We start from the raw sequence: 25,438 nt of genomic DNA, 5'->3' as shown, positions 1-25,438 counted from the left end.
GCCTTGGCCTTTAGAACTTCCAAGTATCTGTGAGATAAGAAAGTTCTGTGAGGGTTTCTTAAATGAGTCACATTTCCTTCCTAAGTTTCTGGATATCATTTTACTTGAATTGGTTGCCATACTTTGATGAGCAAGGAACGCTGTTTTAGAAAATCCTTACTACTTGATGATTAATCCTTGGAGCTAATGTTCCACGTTCCCAAGGTTGTGAGTGCTTATGGCCACATTCCTGCATCAGCTCAGCCATCGCGGTAGGTATCTCACAGACCTTCTCTAGCTTTCTTTTCCTCACTTAAGGGATGCATATTGGAAAGACTCTGCAGGGTTCTTTCTGCCAGGCAGCCTGGGGGTCGTGTGGTCCTTTAGAGTTCATCTCTAGCTTCTAGATGCTGCTCTCATGGGGGTTCCTGGCTCTGTTCATCTCCAGAGACAAGCATCTCAAAGGGAACCTGGGAAGTTTATAGCACTGGTGCTTGCTTGCCTTGTTTGCTTGTTTGTTTTTCTGTTCTGGTCTGCTGTGGAACTTGTCACCATGTCCCCTCCCCATGGACTGACTTTCCTACCCTCCACTGTCCCTTAGGTATTCACTCTCAGACTGAGTGGTGTCCTGTTTTCCTGGTGGCTCATTTGCCAGGGTCTGCAAAGGACAAGGTGCTTAGCAGGGACAGAGAGGGGCTCCAGGTGGGGAGCAGTGGTCAGGCCAGCTGACCTTAGTGCTTACCCCTGGGTCCCCTCCCTAGAATTCCTGCGATGCCTCCACCATGTCTACCCTCTCCCCACAGGGGCTGTTTCCCTTTTAGTTCTCTTGCCTTACTGTGGGCAAAAGCTTACTTTTCTTGGTTCCTCTTATCCCAGCTAAGAAAAGCTGATGTTCACAACAAAATGAAGAGACTTGACTACCCAGGAAGGTAGACATAAGAGGAAACAGCCACAAACAGCACAGGCATACAAGTGTCTTGCTTCCCAAGCACAGGCAGGTTTTTGTGCCCACACTTCAGGGCTCGTCTGACTGCACTGGCTCTGCCAGGCGCTGCCCAGCTTCCTGCTTCCCCTCCCAGTCCTGCTTCTTCTGTCAGTAAAACAAAATTTTAGAGTGATGCTTTGCTTGATGCTTTGGGGGCTGCATTTTTATCACAAGTGTGGAAATTGTACTTTGCTCTGGTTTCTACAGATGCCTAAACATGTCTAGGTTGCTGTTGCCTTGGCAACTGGCTGAGCTGTTGGTTGTGTGTGTGGTGAAGGTTCTGGCAGGGGCTTCATGGAAGCCTCTGGTCATCCTTAGAGCTTTTCAGCTAAGCTGGCGGTTACTCCCAAGCCCAGAACCATATGCTCTTAGCTCCCCTTTGTCGTTTGGAGCTTCCCATTTTATTTCCCTGAGAAATCCCTGCTCAGCTGCCCTAGACTTGGGTGGGTGGTATGGCATGGCATGGCATGCACTGATAGGGCTGATTTATTTCGAGACTGGATTTTTGGTAACACAAGACGTGATTCCATAGCAGCCCTTGGCCTAAGTTTTATTTGAGGTCGGACGGGGCCCAAGGGCTGCTTGTGCTCTCCCTTCAAGTGCCTTCTGCTTTTTAGGCCTGGGGTGCTTGTTGGGGCCCAGAGCTGGGCCTTGCCTGAGAGTCACGCAAAAGCAGGGCCTTCCAGTACTCCAGAGGGGTACTCCTGACCACCTGTAAGCCATGGGAAGAAAGTCAATGTGATTGGATCACGGCAGTGCCACACAGTATGTCTCCTTTTATGAAGACTGAGTGAAAGGATATAATCAATTCCAGTTTTATCCTTTGTTATTTTCTTTAATGCTTCTTGTATTTCCTTTTGGATTTATTTCTTTTCTTCTTAGTCTTGCAAATGTGAGTCTGAAGTTGCTGATGTGGGGGTTGGGGCTGACTCATCACCTCCCCTTATAGCTCAGACAAGTCACCTTCCTTAAAGTTTTTTGGGTGTACGCTCATTTCCAGAATTGCTATTTTGGGCCCATGCTTTTCTCTCTGCTGCCTCTACTAGGAACTTGCAGGTTCACGAAATTTAGAAATAGTTTAACATAACATGAGCTCTTACTAGTAAGTAAAGAGGTGAGTAGAGAGAGAAACCTCCTCCAATCCTCCAAACCCTCCAAAAGCCTCATGTTAGCAGTGTGATTGGTGGAGGTGGAGACAAACTCAGTCCATTGGGAACTCGTGGGGTTACCAGGTGGGAGAGGGGAGTTCTCTCCTTGGGGTAGAGTTGGCAAATTACCAGTCCCCACAAAGGCTGCAAAGCCCTGCTACCCACTCCCTGTGCATCCTGCTGTCCAGGATGGCTGGCTTTTGGGGTCCTGACCTGGAACCCGGGTTGCTTTTCCCCATAGGAGGGCCTCTGTCTGGAGCAGAGGTTCAGGGAGAAGCCTCTGGCATGTTTTGGTCTTGGGCCGGCCCCGTCCATTGGGGCTACAAGTGCCTGCAGTGAGCTGTTGTTAGTAAGGAGCTCTGCAACCAGATTGCCTGGGCTTGAATCCCAGCTCTGAGATTGGTTGTGATACCTACCTCACCTTTGAAATGGGGATCATGATAGGATTGTTGTGCAGATGGGATGCATGAATGTGTGCCCTGCACTTGTGATGGCATTGCCCTTAGAGAACTCCATTGTAGCACAGCCATCGGTGCCTCTGAGCCTGCCAACCATCTTGCCTTGGGACTCTTTGATTCCCACTTTACAGTTGAGGAAATAGGCTCAGAGAAGCTTAATATATCTTCAGATCTGGGTCTGTCTCAGGGTTCTCTCTTCAAAGCACTGGTGGTCCCCCACAGTGGCCCTGTCTCCCCAGCAAGTTAGGGAGTGACTGCCAGGGGACTGCTCCATCAGTCCTGTGCCCACCAGGCATAGTCTGTAGACAGCATTTTTTTTTTTGAGATGGAGTTTCATTCTTGTTGCCCAGGCTGGAGTGCAATGGCATGATCTTGTCTCACGGCAACCTCCGCGTCCCGGGTTCAAGCGATTCTCTTCTTCAGCCTCCCAAGTAGCTGGGATTACAGGCATGTACCACCACGCTGGGCTAATTTTGTGTTTTTAGTAGAGACAGGGTTTCTCCATCTTGGTCAGGCTGGTCTTGAATTCCCAACCTCAGGTGATCCACTGGCCTTGGCCTCCCAAAGTGCTGGGATTAGAGGCATGAGCCACCACGCCTGGCCTGTAGACAGATTTTTTAATGCCTCCGTACACACACATACACACACACATTAGACATTTATATGTTACTGAAATGGGAGAGTTCCCTGGACCCCTTCGAGGTACTTGGGACAGGGGTGTGGCTGGTTTGCTTAAACCACTTACAGGAGGGGGAGCATGCAGGTGAGCAAGTACAGGGGCCGAGGCGAGCACTTTTGGGCTCTGGCCCCACAGCAGTGTCTAGGGTTGTTACAATGCTCTTTTAGCCCTCCTGTCTGAGGACGGCTTAAGTGTTAAACGGCTTAAGAGTCAGTGTGACAGCCTTTTTGGGTTCAGCATCCCGAATTATCTGGCGTCCAGGAAGAATCAGGTCACATGGACTTGAAGGATGGTGAATGCGGGATTTTATTGAGTGATGGAGGTGGCTCTCAGCAGGATGGGGAGCTGGAGATGGGATGGAGTGGGAAGGTGATCTTTTCCTGGAGTTTGGCCATTCTGCAGCCGATCTCCTCTTCAACTGCCCCCAGCTCAACTCCTCTCGACTTCCTCTCTTCTCTCCTCTGCCACTCTTCTGCTCCTGGATTCTGGGGTTTGGGGTTTTATATGGGCACAGGATGATGGGGGACATGGTGGGCTGAAAGGCAACATTTGGGTGCGAAAACAGGAATGCTTGTTCTCATTTAGGGCCTTGGGTCCAGGCTTGAGGGTGGGGCTCTCACCAGGGACCCTGCCCTTCTGCCTCGTGTTTGTATCATTACTATATATAAATGATGCTGTGATTATGATTAACAAAATACCAGTTTACTTTAAAACTTGAATTTACAGTAGCCTTTTGTCATCTGGAGTTTCTAAATCATTGAATGTGAAAAATACTATTATTTAGGGATCTAGCAACCTTATTGATCTTTAAAAGGCTTAAGTTCAGAAAAAGTTTATTGTTGCCCTTTTCTTGCTCTGTGTTTTGGTGTCTGCCCTTCTGTCTGTCTGGCATCTGTGCGAGTCATGCGTCAGGGCATGTTGGGGAGATGGAGGCCAGTGTGGCTGGGTTGAGTTATAAACTGGAAGCAAGGTTGGGAGCCCAGAATCCAAACCAGGTTCAGACTGGGAGAATATCTGAAATCCCTGCAGCAGCAAAGAAGGTTCCTATATTCACGGTCCCTGAAGGAATTTTGCTGGGTCCCCAGGTTCTCTGGGAGCATTGATGTGTCTCACTCTCATGGTACCAAAGACTTTCTGTTTTTATTCATCAACTTCCTGTATTTCCTTCTGCTCCCTCCTTAACCTGGGGTTGGCTCTAGTTTCAAAGTTAATTCTCAAATCCAAACCTCAGACTTAAAGGCTGGTAACTGCCCTTGGATATGTTTGGGGCTGGCTCCTGAGAAACCTCTTTTCCAGGAAAGCTCTGGCCTGTTAGATTTTGCTCTGTAATTTTACTGCCTTGCTCACCTAACGGTGGTCACTGGTGTTCTGAGACACGTGGGTGGAACTCAGCAATGTTTCTTCACTTGTATTTTTGTTTGTTTGTTTTTTGAGACAGAGTCTTGCCCTGTCGCCCAGGCTGGGGTGCAGTGGTGTGATCTCAGCTCACTGCATCCTCCACCTCACGGGTTCAGATGATTCTCCTGCCTCACTCTGCCTCCCGAGTGAAGTAATAGCTGGGACCACAGGCATGCGCCACCATGCCTGGCTAATTTTTGTTGACCTGTATTTGGATCTTATATTTACATGAGAATTTCATGCAAATAGATTCTTTCCCCCTAGAAATGGACTCAGACATTTTTGCATGCAATTCAATGTATTCATAAATCCCCATTCATTTTTATTTATTTATTTATTATTTATTGTTTTTTTTTTTGAGACGGAGTCTCGCTGTCGCCCAGGCTGGAGTGCAGTGGCGCCATCTCAGCTCACTGCAACCTCTGCCTCCCGGGTTCAAGCGATTCTCCTGCCTCAGCCTCCCAGGTAGCTGGGACTACAGGCGCCTGCCACCACGCCTGGCTAATTTTTTCTATTTTTAGTAGAGACAGGGTTTTACCATGTTAGCCAGGATGGTCTCAATCTCCTGACCTTGTGATCTGCCCGCCTCTGCCTCCCAAAGTCCTGGGATAACAGGCGTGAGCCACTGTGCCTGGCCAAATCCCCATTTATGTATTCAGCAAATTTTTGAACGCCTGCCATGTGCTAGGCACGGTTCTAGGCACTGGAGTTACAACAGGAACAACGTAGTCCATGATCTTACATTCTGGTCAGAGGAGGCAGAGCGTGATTAAACACCCCCAGCCTGGTGTGGAGGGAAGGCCAGCCTCAGTGGGCGGGAGGGTCCAAGCCTCATCCCCTCCTGCCAGGGCTCTGCTTGTTGCCAAACCTCCCAGCCCCCTTCTAGCCTTCACTTCCCTGAACTGGTTTCTGACTTCACAATCGTTATCAGAATTATTTTTAAAAAATTTAATGTTTATTGAGGCTCATTTTGTGCCAGGTGTCCTATTTTTCCTTGCGTGATTACACTTATTCTCATGACAACTTTGTTTTGCAAGTGAGAAAGCTGGGCCTAGGCCTCATACCTAGGAAATGTGATGTGTGGTTTTGATCAGCATGCAGCTTGAGGCTGTAGAACTCAGTAAGCCAGGCCTGAGGACACCATCAGAAATACCAACAAAAAATTCAGTGTGTCCATTTTGGCCTGGACCGTCTCTATTCTCTGCTTTTTTTCCCCCTGATTGAGACAGGGCCTCACTCTGTCACCCAGGCTGGAGTGTAGTGGTGTGATTGTGGCCCACTGCAGCCTCCAACTCCAGGGCTTAATGATCCTCTCACCTCACCCTCCCAAATTACAAGTGTGTACCATCATACCTGGCCAATTTTTTTTTTTTTTTTTTTTTGCGGCAGAGTCTTGCTCTGTCACCCAGGCTGGAGTGCAGTGGCTCGATCTTGGCTCACTGCAACCTTTGCTGCCTGGGTTCAGGCGATTCTCCTGCCTCAGCCTTCCCAGTAGCTGGGATTACGGGCGTGTGCCACCATGCCCAGCTAATTTTTGTATTTTTAGTAGTGATGGGGTTTCAGCATCTTGGCCAGGCTGGTCTTGAATTCCTGACCTTGTGATCCACCCATCTTGGCCTCCCAAAGTGCTAGGATTACAGGCGTGAGCCACCGCGTCCAGTGTCATACCTGGCTAATTTTATTATTTTTTTTTTGAGACGGAGTCTCGCTCTGTCGCCCAGCCTGGAGTGCAGTGGTGCAATCTCGGCTCATTGCAAGCTCCGCTTCCCAGGTTCAAGCCATTCTCCTACCTCAGCCTCCCAAGTAGCTGGGACTACAGGCGCCCACCACCACGCCCAGCTAATTTTTTGTATTTTTAGTAGAAATGAGGTTTCACCGTGTTAGCCAGGATGGTCTTGATCTCCTGACCTTGTGATCCGCCCACTTCGGCCTCCCAAAGTGCTGGGATTACAGACGTGAGCCACCACGCCCAGCCAATACCTGGCTAATTTTTAAATTTTTCTGGAGACTGGGGAAGGGGGCAGGTCTCACTGTGTTGCCCAGGCTGGTCTTGAACTCCTGGCTTCAAGTGATCCTCCTGTCCCGGCTTCCCAGAGCGCTGGGATTACAGGTGTGGGTCACTGTGCCTGGCCACTGTTTCTTTTAACAATCAAATTGCCTTTCTCAAGGAGGAAAACATGGGTGGAATGTGCTTTAAGGCCTCTGTCTGGTGGACATTATAGGCACTTGAAGTTACCAAATCTGTATATTTACTGTTGGCAAAATTGCATGATCCCATCCTTATTTCCAAATAATTGCCGCGTGAATGACATTGGAAATGCACATTTAGTTCTTGACTGAGTAGTTGTATACACACTCTGGTTTTTCCACACCAGACACTTGCTCTCTTGCTGTGACTTTTAAGGTCCTGCCCAATGGACAGAGTAACTTCCTGAAAAGTTGCTTTAAAAACCTTGTCTCCTCAGTGGACGGAGGGTGCAATGAAACAACATTTGTCATCCTGACTCAGTCCCAACCAAGCAGAACCTTTATTGTGACTGGAGGTTTGCAAGCTGCCGTCCTCCTGGCACCAAAAGCAGCCTGTTCTTTAAATATTTGCATTGAATAACTTTGTAGCTCTGCTTCCTTCTAAGGCTTGCCACACTTCATGTCAGAAGCAGAGCTCCTCCTCTGGAGTTATTGTGAAACATGACTGAATGCCAGGGTGCAGTTTCTCTGCAGTCAGCTCACTTTATAGAGGAAGAACTCGGCTGCTTCAGCTCAATGTGAGTTAAACGTTGCAGTGTCCAGTCTTGCTTCCTGGCAGTTGGGGCCCGGAGCAGCCCCGAGGCGGGGAGGGGGGACATTGTCCCCTTTGACTATGTGATTGTTGGAAGCAGGGTCCTGAGAGGGAGTCCAGGAGGCAGCCTAAATGGAATTTCCAGTCTAAACGGGCAAGGCACAGTTGCGGGAGTCCTGGTGTAAAGTCCAGTGAGACAGAGACTGGGGCTTGGGGTGGGATGGGGATTGCTGACAAGAGAGAAGGATCTCTGGGCCAGGGAAGAGGCAGCTGCATTCGCTGGCTGCGAGGCTGTGGCTCTAGGTGTGGATATGCTAGGGTGCTCCCCGCAGCCCCCAGACCTTTCATATGTCAGCATTCCCGTAGGTGGGGCATGTGGGACCCCTGCCCGGGGCCCTTTTTCCAGTGTGACTGTCCCTATAGGGTGAGGAATCTGAGGTATCAAGAAGTGGTATCTCCCTAAAACTTGTGCCTCTCCCTTTAGGCCATGCACAGGGACAGAGACCCTGGAATTCCCTGCCCCAGTAACCCCCAGACCCCTTACATGGCCTGCATGGGCCGCCTCCCTGGCGTGTCCTGCTGAGGGTAGGCTGTGCACTGTGTGCACGTGCCTCCAGCCAAAGGTGGCTGAATGGTGGCCATGGGCAGGGTATGTGTGGACAGAGCTTGGGTGTGCAGGCTGGGGTGTCCCCATAAGCACGCCCGAGGGTCTTTGTGGCGCAGGACACGGCTCTGGATTCATGTGTGTGCCTGGTTTCTTGAATGGTAAAGTTCATGCTTATTTTCTGGGTGTGTTTGGGGTTGTCCCTCCCTATCTGACACATGGGGCTTGGGACCATGCCTGGAGCCCCAGTTGCATGGGGAGGTGGGGTTAAGAGCAGGCCTGTCCCCCTGCTCAGCCCTTCTTACCACCAAACCAGCCACACTTGAGCAGGAGCGCACTGCACTGTCATTTTACCCAAAGTTTCCCTCTAGGGCTTTGCTGATGACATCTCTTGGCTTTTGTTAGCATTCTGGCGCAATATCAGAAGGATTCCAGTCTACATCGTGGTCTTCTTGAGAGCTCATATTTGATTTCGGCTTTAGCTCACTGGACTTTAGCCTGGAGGAATCCCACTGAAGAGTTTTTAATGTTGACTTATGGAACTTGTCCCAGCAGCAAACCACAGATACTGTGGCTTGGGGGTGAGCAGCTCTTGTGGAAACAAGGCACTTCCCTTCTTCAGCTGCATAGGAGTGCTTCAGGAACCTTTTGGGCCACATTCTTCTTGTGATTTCTTGACTTGTGGGAGGGCAGGGAAGTGATGTCTGGGTCCCACAGCGCACATGGCTGTCCCTGGTGCCGCCCTTCCAGGAGGAACTGCCAGGTCGGATGTGGAGATGAACCCGGAGAGTGTCCTTCGGCTCTGGTCGGCCTTCAGGGGCATTCCTGCCAGTCTCAGAAGATGACAGTCTGCAATCGTGTTATCATCAACGTGGAAAAAATAAGGGCAATGCAGTTTTCATGTGTGTAAGGTTAGCAGCTGCCCTTTCTTGGGAAGGGCTCTTTCTGTATAAAATTTTGACCATTGTATCTTTTACATTTTAAAATGTCCTATCTTTCCATGTTGATGAAAAGAGCTGGTAGTTTCTAAAGGATATTCTTACTTGGCAAAATAAGAAGTAAGCAGTCTTATGTTATTCTGCCTTCAAATTTGAAACAGTTTTATTGAGTTATAATGAACAGGCGATAAGTTTTGGCATATGAATACACTGTTAAGCCATCATTGCAAAGAAGATAGTGAGAAGTCCACCCTCTGAGGGTTCCTCTTGCCACTTGGGGTCCCTCTGCCCCCACTTCTTCCAGGCCACCACTGCTCTACTCTTTGCCACTGTAGAATCATTTGCATTTTCTAAAATTTTATGTAAATGGAATCATACAGTATGTATTCTATGTATTCTTCTTCTTCCTTTTTTTTTTTTGAGATGGAGTCTTGTTCTGTTGCTAGGCTGGAGTGCAGTGGTGCAATCTCGACTCACTGCAACCTCCGCCTCCCGGGTTGAAGTGATTCTCCTGCTTCCCAGCTCCCAGCTCCCGAGTAGCTGGGACTATAAGTGCATGCTGCCATGCCCGGCCAATTTTTTTGTATTTTTAGTAGAGACGGGGCTTCACTGTGTTGCCCAGGCTGGTCTCAAACTCCTGAGCTCGGGCAATCTGCCCGCCTCAGCCTCCCAGAGTGCTAGGATTACAGGTGTGAGCCACCACTTCCGGCCAGTATATATTCTTTTTACAGTATGTGTTATTTTTAGTCTGGCTTCTTTCACTCAGTAAAATTACTTTGAGATTGTTGTAGCATTTATCAGTTAGTTTCATTTTTTAAAAAATCCAATGCATGGGCATGCTACAATTTGTTCATTCACCTATTGACAGACGTTTGGGCTGTTTCCACTTGGTGTAATCACAAATGAAGATGCTATGTCGTGAAAAGATGTTACAGAAAAATAAGGTGCTATTAACATTTGTGTGCCAGTCTCTGTGGGGACATCTGCTTTCTTTTTATCAAAAATTTAATGGAGACAGAGTCTCCCTATGTTGCCAAGACTGATCTTGAACTCCTGGGCTCAAATGATCCTCCTGCCTCAGTCTTCTAAAGTGTTGGGATTACAGGTGTGAACCACTGCACTTGGCCAACATCTGCTTCCACTTCCCTGGGGTAAATACCTAGAGTGGAATGGCTAGGTGCTTTGGTGGTTTAGGTGGTTAGGCTAGGTTTGGTGGCTAGGGTACGTTTAACATGTCCAGACACTGCCAAACTTTTCCAAAGTGCTTTGCGCGCATCACCAGCACTGGGTTCTAGTTCCCCCACATCCTCACCAACACTTGGTACATGTAGTCTTTTTAATTTTTGCCATTCTGGTAGGTTTAATTTGCATTTCCCTAGTGATTATCTCTTTAAATCACTTGCCTGTTGAAAAAGCTGAGTTGTTTTATTAACTTAGTTTTGAAATTTTTAAAATATATTTTGGATACAATTCCTTGATCAATTACATAATTTGAAAATATTGACTCCCTGTCTGAGGCTGTCTTTTCATTCTTTTAACAGTATCTTTTGAAGAACAGAAGTTTTAAACATTTGCTGAAGTCAATTTGTTCTTTTACGGCTTGTGCTTTTTTGGTTGGTGTCACAGCTAAAATCTTTGCCTAATCCCAGGTCACAAATGTTTTCTCATGTCTCGTCTAGAAATGTTATAGTTTTATGTTTTACATTTAGGCCTGTGATCCATTTTGAACTTTTAAAATGTGTTGCGGTGTGTGAATTGAAGGTTTTTTTTTTTTTTTTTTGTCTGTGGATAGCCAGTTGTTTCAGTACCATTTGTTGAAAAGTCCCCAAAATTTTGGGGGAAAATTTCTAATTGGTGAAACCCAGAGGTCTGGGAATTGTGGTTCTGAGCCCTTGGATCTCTTCATGACTGTTTACTGTTCTCAGCTTCGTATGGCATGGCTTTCTCTTTATCGCACCTGGGAGTTCCCAGCTCCTGACAGCAGGAGCTCTATCATTGGATAGGGCTGGGAAAGGGACTGGGCGATGCCCGCTGGATTCCCGCACAGTCTCTCTCCTTCTTCTCTGGGCCATACAGAGGCTTCTGGTTGGTGGGTTCTGGGCAGTGTCTCATTTCCAGAGGTGACTAGAGGCTTGCCAGGACAGAGAGGTGGAGGGAGAAGAAGCCTTCTGTGCCTGGATGGGTGGGGTGGGGCTCAGGCTGAGAAAGGTGGGAGGGGCTGTTCCCCATTCTGCGAGGGCTGACAGCCTTGAGACCTGCAGCCAGCTGAGACCCAGGGAACTGGGCTCTGCTCTGAGCCACTGCTTGTCCTTGACCAGCTTTATGACTGGGGTGGATGGGGGTGGGAGGGGTTAACACAAGTTCATTCTTTTCCCTTCAGTCACAAAGTGGCTCTGAGCAGTCTCCAAGTCTATACCATTGTACAGCAGCTTCCTAGGAGGTGGTAAAGTCTCCATCTGCTTTTTGATCTGGGGGCAGTGTGTTCTGACTCATAAACTGCTGGTACTACTAGTCCTAGCACTAGGAGTTCCACCAGCACCTAAAAGTGATGGAGCTTTCTTCTGCTGTAAGCACTTTGTGTATAGAACCCGTTGAGTCCTCACAACAGCGTTGTGAGGTGGCTGCTGTCCATTTTACAGATGAGGAAACTGAGGCACAGAGAAGGTGACCATCTGGAAGAAGTCTTTGGGCTGTGCTTTTTGTTATTGAACATTGAAGGACAGATATGGTTTAGCATTTTTCATTAGCTCTTGAGCCAAATAGAGTGGTTTCCATGGCCCTCTTCCACATCTTCATGTTCTTATTGGCAACGGGGAGGGGTCGGACTGTCTGAGATTAAAATTCTTGAGTGGTTCTCTGTTGTTATCACAATAAAATCCAGACTTGTGGTCTGACCCCTGCTTACCCGTTGAGTCTCATCTCTTGCCACACTCCTGAACTTCTTGCATTTCTCCCATGCAAATCTTGTCTACTGCAAATGCCATTCTTCCCGTCTTTGCCTGCTGAACTCATCCTTCAAAACTTGGCTCTAATTTCACCTTCCCCTCCCTCCAGGTGTTTTGCCCCTGGGCCTGCAGAGTGGATGGTCCACCCCCGTCCCCATACTCCTCATGTATGGTATGACCGACCTGTTTGTCTTCTGTGGGGCTAGGAGCTGGGTAGGCGGAGGGCAGGGGACTGCATTTTGTATTGTAGTGTGCAGTTCTTAGCTCTGAAATGGCACATCATAGGCAAGCAGGCTCTGTGGGATGAACAATGCAGGCATGAGTGACATGAGGATCTGCAGTCCTAAGACTGATTCATTCTTTGGGAGGAGTATCCCTTCTTACCCAAAGCCAGTTGGTTTGTGGCCGTCTGTGATTGCAAGTGCCCAGGGCTGCCCTCATGTGGAAAGTCACGTTGACTGACTGCAGAAATTAGCTGTGTTTAAAAATCATTCTTTTTAAAAAAATCATTCATTTTTTAAACCTGTTTAAATGCTTGAACTGGCTTACATCTTACATATATACACACACATATATATACACACATATGTGTGTGTATATATATATATATACATATATATACATATGTGTGTATATATATGTGTGTGTATATATGTATATATAAATATATCTTCTTTTTTTAAACCTGTTTAAATGCTTGAACTGGCTTACATCTTACCTATATATACACACATATATATACATATATGTGTGTGTGTGTGTATATATATATATATATATTTTTTTTTCCCCCTCCAAGAGAATGAGTTTTCTTTTCTTTTTTTTTTCTTTCTTGTTTTGTTTTTTTGAGACAGAGTCTCACTGTGTCGCCCAGGCTGGAATGCGGTGGCGCGATCTCAGCTCACTGCTGCAATCTCTGCCTCCCAGGTTCAAATGATTCTCCTACCTCAGCCTCCCAAGTAGCTGGGACTACAGGCACCCACCACCATGCCCAGCTAATTTTTTTTGTATTTTTAGTAGAGACGGGGTTTCACTGTGTTGGCCAGGCTGGTCTTGAACTCGTGACCTCGTGATCCACCCGCCTCGGCCTCCCAAGGTGCTGGGATTACAGGTGTGAACCACCACACCTGGCCTTTTTTTTTTTTGAGGGGGATGGAGTTTCACTCTTATTGCCCAGGCTGGAGTGCAATCGTGTGATCTCGGCTCACTGCAACCTCCACCTCCCAGGTTCAAGCGATTCTCCTGCCTCAGCCTCCTTAGTAGCTGGGATTACAGGCATCCACCACCACACCCAGCTAATTTTTTGTATTTTTAGTAGAGATGGGGTTTCATCATGTTGGCCAGGCTGGTCTTGACCTCCTGACCTCAGGTGATCCACCCACCTCGCCTCCCAAAGTGCTGGGTTAATAGGCGTGAGCCACTGCGCCCGGCCGAGAATTGAGTTTTCTATTGTATTAAGAAACGAACTAGACCAGGTGCAGTGGCTCATACCTGTAATCCCAGCACTTTGGGAGGTCAAGGCAGGAGGATTTCGTGAGCCTAGGAGTTTGAGACCAGCCTGGGCAACATAGTGAGACCCTGTGTCTACAGAAAATTTAAAACTAGCCAGGTGTCATGGTATGTGCCTGTGGTCCCAGCTATTCAGGAGGCTGAGGTGGGAGAGTTGCTTGAGCCTAGGAAGTCAAGGCTGCAGTGAGCCATGATTGCGCCACTGCACTCCAGTCTGGATGACAGACTCACTCCCAAAAACAAAAAAAAAAATTTCTTTGACCACCTTTCAGATCATGGATTTAAGTTTCTATATTTTTTCCCAAATGCATGTGATGTCATTGTAAATTTTATGGCAAGCTAAAAAAATAATTTGAGTTTTTGAAAATGTTTCTTTGGAATGTGTGGGCTGGGGCCAACATGAATTAGATTGGATCAAGTTTGGTATCCCTTCTTGAAAGAGAAGGAAGTTTGGAGAGCAATGTTAACTGAACTGCATTTGGTACAGAGAGCTATTTAGAAATGTTTTGCTACATTTCACTGAAATCTTCATACCTGTGGCTACATTATTTTCTTCCCGAGCTGCTGTAGTTAGGAGCAGTTATACTTTTGGCCAGTGGACCCTAAGCCTGGACTTCTACAGGTTGCTGAATTTGAACCAGATTTTCAGTTCATTGCATAATGTATTTTTTTCTTTAATTACTAGGACGCAGGATTAACTAATCTTGGGAAGTAGAAGGTTGAGTTGTACCTTGATGAAGATGAGTTCAAGCTCTATTTGGTTGTGGTCCTCTCCTGCTCTGGCCATGACGTGCCCCCCACCCCTCACTCACACATCCCACAGCTGTCTGTGTCCTCGTGGGCTTTGTAACTGTGAGGGTCCTAGCAGTGAATGTGAATGAAAAGTGTTCAGAGACTATCTTCTCCTTGTCTTTGGTGCCTGGGACAAACCTACATTTTCTAAATGGTTTTGCTTTTGTGTTCTCTGGAACAGGCATTTATGTATTTATTTATTTTGTTTTTGAGCCACAGTCTCGTTATGTTGCCCAGGCTGGGGTGCAGTGGTGCGATCTCGGCTCACAGCAACCTCCACCTCCCGAGTTCAAGTGATTCACCTCAGCCTCCCAAGTAGCTGGGACTACAGGGATGTGCCATCACACCTGGCTAATTTTTGTATCTTTAGTAGAGACGGGGTTTCACCATGTTGGCCAGGCTGGTCTTGAACTCCTGACCTCAAGTGATCTGCCCGCCTCAGCCTCCCAAAGTGCTGGGATTACAGACATAAACCACTACGTCCAGCCTGGAACAGGCATTTTAAAATGTGTTCTGGAGGTTTTATGGCTCATGCCTGTAATCCGAGCACTTTGGGAGGCGGAGGTGGGTAGATGATGAGGTCAGGAGATTGAGACCATCCTGGCTAACACAGTGATTAAACCCTGTCTCTACTAAAAATACAAAAAATTAGCCGGGTGTGGTGGTGCGCACCTGTAGTCCCAGCTACTTGGGACGCTGAGGCAGGAGAATCGCTTGAACCCGGGAGGCGGAGGTTGCAGTGAGCCGAGATTGCACCACTGCACTCCAGCCTGGGTGACAGAGTGAGACTCCTGTCTCAAAAAAAAAAAAAAAAAAGAATGAATGTGCCCGTCTTCTGAACATGGTGCCATGGGTGTGTGTGTGTGTGTGTGTGTGTGTGTGTGTGTGTGTGTGTGTTGCTCCTGGACTCAGGGTGGGGTGTCTCAAACCACATGCTGGGTGGCCAGTGAGGTCCCTCGGGCAGAGCCACCTGCGTGTAGGGGTGTCATCTTATCTAGGGGCTGGAGATGAAATTTTTATCTGTGGGAAGCTAAGCAGCCCATATAATAACAGTGATGATCAGTGTTGGGGTACCCAAGGTTAGTGCTGTTATCACTTTTTTACACATAAATGAAATGGAGGCTCAGAGAGATAGTTAAAATATTTGTTCAGGGACACATGGGTGGTAAGTGACAGAGTCAGGGTTTGAACCCAGGTCAGTCTTGGTGTTTTGTGTATAGATTCAGACACACCCCCCAGCAAGTCATCAAAAATGTCTTCTCATTGACTACACATCAAGGGTGGGTGGAGTGGACTCTACAGGCTGTCTGAGGGGTGTTAGTTAGGGAAGGCGTCAGTGGGAATGGAGTATCTATGTATGTGTGCGTGTAGGTATGTGTGATTTACATCCAATAAACTTTACTCAAGAAGGGGATCTTAGGGGCTTTATTATATAGGCAGTGGCTATCAAAGGCTTTTAAGCAGAAGAGAAAGGTGAGACCACATCTAGGTTTCGGGAAGGTTTTTTTAGAATGGGTAGAAAAGGATAGAGATTAGATCTAGAGAGACAAGTGTTGATGCAGTAGCTGCTGCCCCTTCTTAGGGTCTTTGCACGTGGGGTTCCCACTTCCTGGAATGTTCTTTGTCTTCAGGTCATAGCACAAAAGCCCCCTCTCAGTGGTCACTGATGTTGCTCTCTGCCCTGAAGTAGCCCTCTGCTGTGTCTGAAGTCATTGTGTTCCCATGTGGATTTTAGTGTGTATCTTCACCCCCCATTAGAGTGTCACTGTCATGCATGTGCACTCAGCAGCGTGCAGGGCCCCAAAAGGCCTCCGTGAACTGTGGAGGAATGAGCCCCTGAAGTGGCGGGTGGTGAGATCGAGCCTGTCTGCTGGTTGCCATGCTGGGAAGGGGTTGTGGAGGGAGAGGGGAACCAAGGTCATTTCTTTTAGGCGTTTGATTTCGTTTGGCCGGATGAATGCTGCCCTTGATTGATACTCACGAGTGTTTTCTTTGGGGGCCGCTGCGCTTTTCCAAACAGCCAGGGTGCTTACCAGACTCGCTGACCACACTGCAGCCCAGCGTCGTGGCTGACGCAGTGGCACGGTTTTGCTTAGCTTGAATTGCTTTTCCTTTTCTGTTGGTCAAGTTCTCTTTTGTTAGTGATCATTTACCTCTTTTAAATCTCCTAGCATAGTTCCTGGTCTTCCTTTTCTTGTTTTTCCCTTGCCTAATGCTTACTGTTTCTGTGTTAATTCTGGGGAAAGGGAAATCACCTTGAGGGTGCTTGGCTAAAACTACAGAGCAAGGGGATCGTTGTTTGGAAAGTCAAGCGTGAGCCTCCTGACCTGGGGCATTGGCCCAATCAAGAAGACCTCGATGTTTCTTTGTGTTGGGGGTGTGGGGTGAAGCCAAGTGGCCGGTGGCTCTATAGTGGCCCTGTAATGGACATCAGACCTGCAGTCAGCAAGGGGTGGGCAGGGTGGGCATGGGAGGGTGGAGAATCACTTCAGTTGGAGATGAGACTGTGGAGAACCTGGGTTTTGCTCAGTGATTCCTGCATGGGGAGGGGTTAGGCGTCTGGGAGACTTATCAGATTTCCAGGACATTTTCAGACCTTAGCCCTCCCTCTGAATATAATGTGGTGAAGAGGCAGACAGAAGGTTAAAAACCAGCTGGAGCTGGATGACATGTGAATGTGTCTGTGTGTGTGTCTGTTGGAGGGGCTGTTCTTTGTCCTGTTATCTTTATGTTTTGCAAATGTTTCAAAACCAGGTGGGTCCTTCTCAGGGGTTGGCCGAGCGAGGGCTGGAGGCAGTGTCTTCAGTTGCACCTAGGTGCTGTAAAGGTGACACTCCTGGACCTAGACCTGGGCCTGCATGTGGAGAGAAGTGAGGCCAGTGGGGGGCCACAACGGAGCCTTGGAGTGTGCCCATCTGCTGCCCTTGTGGGCAGAACGTGGAGCCCATCAGGAATGGCTTGTGGGAGACAGCCAGTCTCTGGGGTGAGCACCCCATCCAGAGAGGTGCACAGCTGATGGAGTCTCGCTCTGTCGCCAAAGCTGGAGTGCTGGAGTGCGGTGATGAGATCTCGGCTCACTGCAACCTCTGCCTCCTGGGTTTAAGCAGTTCTTCTGCCTCAGCCCCCAAGTAGCTGGGATTACAGGCATGTGCCGCCACTCCTGGCTGAGTTTTGTATTTTTAGCAGAGATGGGGTTTCGCATGTTGGCCAGGCTGGTCTTGAACCCCTGACCTCAAGTGATCCTCTCACCTTGGCCTCCCAAAGTGCTGAGATTACAGGCGTGAGCCACCACACCCAGCCCATACACACTTACTGATTTCATTTTTTATAGAAAGCAGCCAGCTTTCCTGACCTTTGGTTGCCAAACAGAACAAGCAAATCCACATATATCCATCTCTAGGGTTTAGTTTAGAATAAGAAAAACTAGGGGTGGGGCCTACTTTTGTTTTCCAACCTCTCCCCAGCTGCTTTTTTCAGGTAAGTAGTTGCCTCTTTTGGGGTCTCATTGTTACTAAGCTGGGTGTTGATGTGCTGAGAAGGAAGACCTGTGCTCTTAGTCTTGGGGATGTTTTCTGCCCTCCTTGTGTTAAGATAATCTTGTAAGTGTCAAAGGCCACAGCTCTGCAGCCTTTTGGCACAGGTGAGGTAAGAGAAATTTCATTTTCCTTTCCTTCTGGTTTACCCTGCTCCTTATTCCCAGATGCCCTGAAGCACCGATTAAAGGGAGTAGTTTTTGCACCAGGAACCTTTGCAGCAGGTGTTGTCAACCCGCTGGCCTGGGTCAGGGCAGTGCAGATCACAGTCCTGCTTTTCTCCTGGCCATGTGGGTTTTCACCTCATCTCCAGATCCAGTCTGGGGAGATGCAAGATGGGACCAGTGTTTTACTAGGTTCACATATCAACATCAGGGAAGCTTCAGGGAGGCCGAGGGCCTAGAGCATTTCTTCCGGGTGGGAAATTGAGAATTCTGAATTCTGTACTCATTATTAACTTTTCCTGGTCTTTAAACAAATTATATAGTTGTTTCTTTTCATTGAGGGCAGGAAGAATTTTATTTAAAAAGTGCTAAGTGCTAGGTAGTGGGTGGTAGCTCACACCTGTAATCCCAGCACTGTGGGAGGCTGGGACAGGCAGATTACTTGAGTTTGGGAGTTTGAGACCAGCCTGAGCAACATGGCGAAACTCCGTCTCTACAAAAAAACATAAAAATTAGCCAGATGTGGTGGTGCACACCTATGATCCCAGCTGCTCAGGAGGCTGAAGTGGGAGGATTGCTTGAGCCCAGGAGGTTGAGGCTGCAGTGAGCCAAGATTTCATCATTGCACTCCAGCCTTGGTGACAGAGCCAGACCCTGTCTCAAAAAAAAAAAAAAAAAAAAAAAAGTGCTAAGTGCTGTGCCCATAGCCTGTGCGTAGCTTCTTCAGCCCAGGTTTACACTAGTTTATTTCCTGACCTGACATGACATCTGATCAGTGGTCATTAAGTATCTGTCTCATGAGATGGAGACTGACCACCAGTCAGTTAACTGAAGAACAAAGACAAAGATTCTTAAAAAACAATACATAGTTTAGGGATGTAAAAAAAATGATAGGCATGATGGTGTGCTCCTATAGTCCCAGCTACTCAGGAGGCTGAGGTGGGAGGATGGCTTAAGCCCAGGAGTTCAAGACCAGCCTGGGCAACATAGCAAGACCCTATCTCTTAAAAACAAAAAATTGATATATTCTCATATGTCAATCTTTTATTGTCCTTTTCTTTTACTTTCAGTTTACTAATTAGAACTGCTGGTTATTTTTTTTGCATATGCCACACCAATAATTTATTGCCTTCAATATCTGTTTTTTTTTTTTTTTTTTTGAGATGGAGTCTCACTCTGTTGTCCAGGCTGGAGTGCAGTGGCACAATCTCGGCTCACTGCAACCTCCGCCTTCTGGGTTCAAGTGATCCTCCTGCCTCAGCCTCCCAAGTAGCTGGGATTAGAAGTGTGTGCCACCACACCCAGCCAGTTTCTTTTTTTTTTTTTTTTTTTTGAGATGGAGTCTCGCTCTGTTGCCTGGGCTGGAGTGCAGTGGCACATTGTCGACTCACTGCAGCCTCCACCTCCTGGATTTGAGCAGTTCTCTTGCCTCAGCCTCCTGAGTAGCTGAGACTACAGGTGTGCGTCACCACAGCCGGCTAATTTTTGTATTTTCAGTAGAGACGGGGTTTTACCATGTTGGCCAGGCTGGTCTCGAACTCGTGACTTCAGGTAATCCACCCGCCTCAGCTTCCCAAAGTGCTGGAATTACAGTTGTAAGCCACTGTGCCCGGCCTAATTTTTGTATTTTTAGTAGAGATGGGGTTTCACCATGTTGGCCACGCTGGTCTTGAACTCGTGACCTCAAGTGATCTGCCTGCCTAAGTCTCCCAAGTGCTGGGATTACAGGTGTGAGCCACTGCTCCTAGCCTTGTTGTTGTTTTTTTTTTTTTTTTTTTTTATTGATCATTCTTTGGTGTTTCTCGCAGAGGGGGATTTGGCAGGGTCATAGGACAATAGTGGAGGGAAGGTCAGCAGATAAACAAGTGAACAAAGGTCTCTGGTTTTCCTAGGCAGAGGACCCTGCAGCCTTCCGCAGTGTTTGTGTCCCTGGGTACTTAAGATTAGGGAGTGGTGATGACTCTTAACGAGCATGCTGCCTTCAAGCATCTGTTTAACAAAGCACATCTTGCACCGCCCTTAATCCATTTAACCCTGAGTGACACAGCACATGTTTCAGAGAGCACAGGGTTGGGGATAAGGTCACAGATCAACAGATCCCAAGGCAGAAGAATTTTTCTTAGTACAGAACAAAATGAAAAGTCTCCCATGTCTACTTCTATCCACACAGACCCGGCAACCATCCGATTTCTCAATTTTTTCCCCACCCTTCCCGCCTTTCTATTCCACAAAACCGCCATTGTCATCATGGCCCATCCCCAATGAGCCGCTGGGCACACCTCCCAGACGGGGTCGTGGCCGGGCAGAGGGGCTCCTCACTTCCCAGTAGGGGCGGCCGGGCAGAAGCGCCCCTCACCTCCCGGATGGGGCGGCTGGCCGGGCGGGGGGCTGACCCCCCCACCACCCTCCCGGACGGGGCGGCTGGCCAGGCAGAGGGGCTCCTCACTTCCCAGTAGGGGCGGCCGGGCAGAGGCGCCCCTCACCTCCTGGATAGGGCGGCTGGCCGGGCGGGGGGCTGTCCCCCCACCTCCCTCCCGGACGGGGCGGCTGGCCGGGCAGAGGGGTCCTCACTTCCCAGTAGGGGCGGCCGGGCAGAGGCGCCCCTCACCTCCCGGACGGGGCGGCCGGCCGGAAGGGGGGCTGACCCCCCCACCTCCCTCCCGGACGGGGCGGCTGGCCGGGCAGAGGGGCTCCTCACTTCCCAGTAGGGGCGGCCGGGCAGAGGCGCCCCTCACCTCCCGGACGGGGCGGCTGGCCAGGCGGGGGGCTGATCCCCCCACCTCCCTCCCGGACGGGGCGGCTGGCCGGGCGGGGGGCTGACCCCCCACCTCCCTCCCGGACTGGGCGGCTGGCCGGGCGGGGGGCTGACCCACCCACCTCCCTCCTGGACGGGGCGACTGGCCGGGCAGAGGGGCTCCTCACTTCCCAGTAGGGGCGGCCGGGCAGAGGAGCCCCTCACCTCCCGGACGGGGCGGCTGGCCGGGCGGGGGGCTGACCCCCCCACCTCCCTCCCGGACGGGGCGGCTGGCCGGGCAGAGGGGTCCTCACTTCCCAGTAGGGGCAGCCGGGCAGAGGCGCCCCTCACCTCCCGGACGGGGCGGCCGGCCGGGCGGGGGGCTGACCCCCCCACCTCCCTCCCGGACGGGGCGGCTGGCCGACCCCCCCCGCCGCCTCCCTCCCGGACGGGGCGGCTGGCCGGGCAGAGGGGCTCCTCACTTCCCAGTAGGGGCGGCCGGGCAGAGGCGCCCCTCACCTCCCGGACGGGGCGGCTGGTCGGGCGGGGGGCTGACCCCCCCCACCTCCCTCCCGGACGGGGTGGCTGCCGGGCGGAGACGCTCCTCACTTCCCAGACGGGGTGGTTGCCGGACGGAGGGGCTCCTCACTTCTCAGACGGGGCGGTTGCCAGGCAGAGGGTTTCCTCACTTCTCAGACGGAGCGGCCGGGCAGAGACGCTCCTCACCTCCCAGACAGGGTTGCGGCCCAGCAGAGGCGCTCCTCACATCCCAGACAGGGCGGTGGGGCAGAGGTGCTCCCCACATCTCAGACGATGGGCGGCCGGGCAGAGACGTTCCTCACTTCCTAGATGGGATGGCGGCGGGGAAGAGGCGCTCCTCGCTTCCTAGATGGGATGGCGGCCGGGCAGAGACGCTCCTCACTTTCCAGACTGGGCAGCCAGGCAGAGGGGCTCCTCATATCCCAGACGATGGGTGGCCAAGCAGAGACGCTCCTCACTTCCCAGACGGGGTGGCGGCCGGGCAGAGGCTGCAATCTCGGCTCTTTGGGAGGCCAAGGCAGGCGGCTGGGAGGTGGTTGTAGCGAGCCGAGATCACGCCACTGCACTCCAGCCTGGGCACCATTGAGCACTGAGTGAACGAGACTCCATCTGCAATCCCGGCACCTCGGGAGGCCGAGGCTGGCGGATCACTCGCGGTTAGGAGCTGGAGACCAGCCCGGCCAACACAGCGAAACCCCGTCTCCACCAAAAAAAAACGAAAACCAGTCAGGCGTGGCGGCGCGCGCCTGCAATCGCAGGCACTCGGCAGGCTGAGGCAGGAGAATCAGGCAGGGAGGTTGCAGTGAGCCGAGATGGCAGCAGTACCGTCCAGCTTTGGCTCGGCATCAGAGGGAGACCGTGGAGGGAGAGGGAGAGGGGGAGGGGGAGGGGGAGAGGGAGAGGGAGAGGGTTGTTTGTTTTTTTGAGGGAGGGTCTCTCTCTGTCGCCCAGGCTGGAGTGTCGTGGTGTGATCATGCAGCCTTGACCTCCTAATGACCATGACAAGCTAGTGTTTTTGATTTTTAGTAGAGACAAGGTCCTGCCATGTTGTTCAGGCTGTTCTTGAACTCTTGGGCTCAAGCAGTCCTCATGCCTTGGCCTCTCAAAGTGCTGGGATTATAGGCATGAGCTACTGTGTGTGGCCATTAATTAATTTAATTAATTTTCTTAATGACAATTGAGAACTTAGAAGCAACATGAATGTGGAATTATAGATTTTACAAATTTTCACCCAATACTCTATACTTGTTTTGCCATACCTATAATTTAGTTAGCAGATTGTTTCTTTCTTTCTTTTTTTTTTAATTAACAACTTGTTTTAATAGAAACTTGTTTTAATAGTTTTAATGGAAACAATGATGCGCTTATTTCATAGGTTTATATAGTTAAGCATGTATGTGTATTTATACTATATGTGTATTGTATGTATGTGCGTATGTGTAATAAATGTGTGTATGTAAATTTACAATGACAAGTACAGTTGGCATAAGCAGGGGTTTGCAGACAAACGTGTTTCAGCACACTGGGCAACATATCAGTCTGTAGCATGTGGTCAGGATGCAAGGGGGATCCGTTAATCCATTAATAACTTAGGGATTTTGTCCTCAGGAATCTCCCAGCCTAGAGGAGGCAATGTCTGTGTTTAAATAACTATAACCCAAGTTAGAAAGCGGCAGGTGCCTTAAGACAGAGCATATACTCCCAGGAGGAAGGAGCCAGAGAATTCATAGAGAAGGAGGTATCTGACCTGGGCCAATTACTTCTTTCTTTGTTTTTTGACTGTTTTTATATTTAGTTAAATATCTGTATATTTCTTTTTTCTTTTCTTTCCTTTTTTTTTTTTTTTTTTTTTGAGAGGGAGTCTTGCTTTGTTGCCTAGGCTGGAGTGCAGTGGCATGATCTCGGCTCACTGCAACCTCCACCTCCCATGTTCAAGTGATTCCCATGCCTCAGCCTTTGGAGTAGCTGGGATTACAGACGCCTGCTACCACGCTTGGCTAATTTTTGTATTTTTAGTAGAGATGGGGTTTCACCATGTTGACCAGGCTGGTCTCAAACTCCCGATCTTAGGTGATCCACCTGCCTCTGCCTCCCAAAGTGCTGAGATTGCAGGCATGAGCCACCGCACCTGGCCAAATATCTCTATATTTCTGTAAATCTATAAATAAAAACACAAACAGATGAACCATCATTGGGCCTTGGGCAGTGGTATGGACATTTGAATTGTTTTTGAAGTTTCTATGTCTCAGCCAGTACAGGTGCTGGCTGTTTCTCCTAGGCAATGGAGCTTTGTAGTACCCCTGTTGTCTGTGCTATACTGCAGGGGGATTGGTCAACAGGATGCATTCCTTTCTGTCACAGTTCATTATACTGGTCAGAGTTCTGAGGTCACCAGCTAACCTGAGCATAATCAGTTCCTTGGAAGACATTGGGTGGAGTGACCTCATAGACTCATAGGAAACCTGAAAAGAAGCCAGGGGAGAAACAATTGTTTTGAAGGAGTAGGGAGATTTCCCAAAGCCCAGCTGGAATGCTGTTGCCAGGAGGAGGAACCAGTTAAGGGGCAGGGACCAGCCTTTTTGGAAATGCTTTGTAGAATGCCCTAGGGAAGAGGAAATACATAAACCAAGGGCCAGGATGCAAACATACTTTTGAATATGTCTCAGATCTGAGTCCACCTGAACGTCTGCAGGCCAAAAAGCATAGCACATCATTCATAGGAACTCCAGAAATGTTGCCCGACTGCCTCCCACAACTTACCGTCAGTGCGGGCATGGAAACCTTCCTGCTTTCTGCTCTGTGTGGGTGGGTGAATGTGAGTGAGGAGAAACACTGTCATCTGGGAGTGAAGAGCCCAGCTTTGCAGTCATTCAGCAGGATGAGGGTGGACTTTTGGCTCTGCCACCAACGCAGTGTGGGCCCTGTGCTCTTCTTGTGTTGCGTGTAAACGAAGACTGATATTTTCTGTTAGATTTCTCAGCGTTATAGGTTATTGGATTTGTTACTGTGTGCTCATGCCAAGAGAAACAGAAGATGTATAAACAGCTAGGTGGTAATCAACTGTTGACTGCTTGTTGTAGCAGAGCCTTCCACAACTTTCTCCTGACCCTCACAAATGCATGTTTTAAAAAAAGAGAGGGACCTATTGTAGGCATTATTCAGCAACTTGTTATTTTCACTTCTCTTGAGCTTACACACCCCTGAATTTAAGCTCTTTTGATAACAAATAATTGAAAAAAGTGCATGGCAGGTTGTAGGTGCTCATTGTGGGATGAATGAATGAATGAGCCAGTGAGTGAGTGTTGTACTCTGGATCTCTCTCCAGGTCAGTAGTTTTTAGTAGTTATGTCACACTGAATTGCTCTAGTCTTTTTCAGACTTGTACTAGCAATGTATGAGTACCCCTGTATTAGTTCGTTCTCACATTGCTATAAAGAACCACCTGAGACTGGGTGATTTATGAAGAAAAGAGGTTTAATTGACTCAGTTTCACAGGCTTAGCAGGAAGCATGGCTAGGAGGCCTCAGGAAACTACAATCATGGTGGAAGGGGAAGCAAGCGTGTCTTACCATGGCAGAGCAGGAGAGAGACAGAGAGCGTGAGGGGGGAAGTGCCACATGCTTCAGATCTCCGAGAACACACTTACTGTCATGAGAATAGCAAGGGGGAAATTCGCCTCCATGATCTAATCACCTCCCATCAGGTCCCTCCCCTGCCACACAGGGATTACAATTTGCCGTGAGATTTGGGTGAGGACACAGAGCCTAACCATATCAACCCCTTTTACTGGGCATTTCCACCAGTGCTAGATGTTGTATTGTTTTTGCTAATCTCATGGCTGAAAATGGTATTATAGTCTTAATTATTTTTAACTAAAAACTGTTTTTCACCATTCTGTTTCTATGGAGCACTTTTATTTTAATTTGTGTTTTCCTGAGTACTGGTGAGGTTGAGCACCATTTCACCTTTTTTCTTTATTTTTTCTTCTGTGAATTCCATACCTATATCCTTTCTCCGTTTTTCCGTCTACTGGATTGTTTTGAATTTTTAGGAACTCTTTGTATATTAGGGCTATAAATTATTTGTTGTGTGCATTGCAAATGTGTCCCCAGCTATTGTTTCTATAGTTTGTTTTTACATTGTTTAGGTGTGTTTTGCCATAAAATTTTAAGATTTTTTGCAAATTTCTATTTCTATTTCTTTGTAAAAATGTTTGTTTCTTCTTCCATCCATGGTCTAAATGAAATTACAGA

General features: G+C 48.9%; 1 protein-coding gene across 4 annotated transcripts in view, besides 4 other annotated features; it reads left to right on the top strand.

Moving 5' to 3' along the window:
* PACSIN2 (protein kinase C and casein kinase substrate in neurons 2) overlaps positions 1-25,438 on the top strand; it is a 145,384-nt gene that overhangs the window by 12,589 nt on the left and 107,357 nt on the right. The window lies entirely within an intron of this gene.
* Positions 815-994: an enhancer, noted in NCBI's record as "active region_19180". NCBI's record gives its function as "activates an Ori minimal core promoter by ATAC-STARR-seq in GM12878 lymphoblastoid cells {active_cell/tissue: GM12878}" and the evidence as "EXISTENCE:reporter gene assay evidence [ECO:0000049][PMID:35858748]".
* Positions 9,411-9,531: a silencer, noted in NCBI's record as "fragment chr22:43389036-43389156 (GRCh37/hg19 assembly coordinates)". NCBI's record gives its function as "represses an EF-1alpha promoter that drives an FKBP-Casp9 reporter gene in an ReSE screen in HepG2 liver carcinoma cells {active_cell/tissue: HepG2}" and the evidence as "EXISTENCE:reporter gene assay evidence [ECO:0000049][PMID:32094911]".
* Positions 16,182-16,700: an enhancer, noted in NCBI's record as "H3K4me1 hESC enhancer chr22:43381867-43382385 (GRCh37/hg19 assembly coordinates)". NCBI's record gives its function as "activates a minimal SCP1, AML or CMV promoter by ChIP-STARR-seq in primed H9 embryonic stem cells {active_cell/tissue: H9 hESC(primed)}" and the evidence as "EXISTENCE:reporter gene assay evidence [ECO:0000049][PMID:30033119]".
* Positions 16,701-17,218: an enhancer, noted in NCBI's record as "H3K4me1 hESC enhancer chr22:43381349-43381866 (GRCh37/hg19 assembly coordinates)". NCBI's record gives its function as "activates a minimal SCP1, AML or CMV promoter by ChIP-STARR-seq in primed H9 embryonic stem cells {active_cell/tissue: H9 hESC(primed)}" and the evidence as "EXISTENCE:reporter gene assay evidence [ECO:0000049][PMID:30033119]".

Source organism: Homo sapiens, chromosome 22 (assembly GCF_000001405.40).
Source record: "Homo sapiens chromosome 22, GRCh38.p14 Primary Assembly".
Lineage (NCBI taxonomy): Eukaryota > Metazoa > Chordata > Mammalia > Primates > Hominidae > Homo > Homo sapiens.
This window is presented reverse-complemented; position numbering and strand designations above follow the sequence as displayed.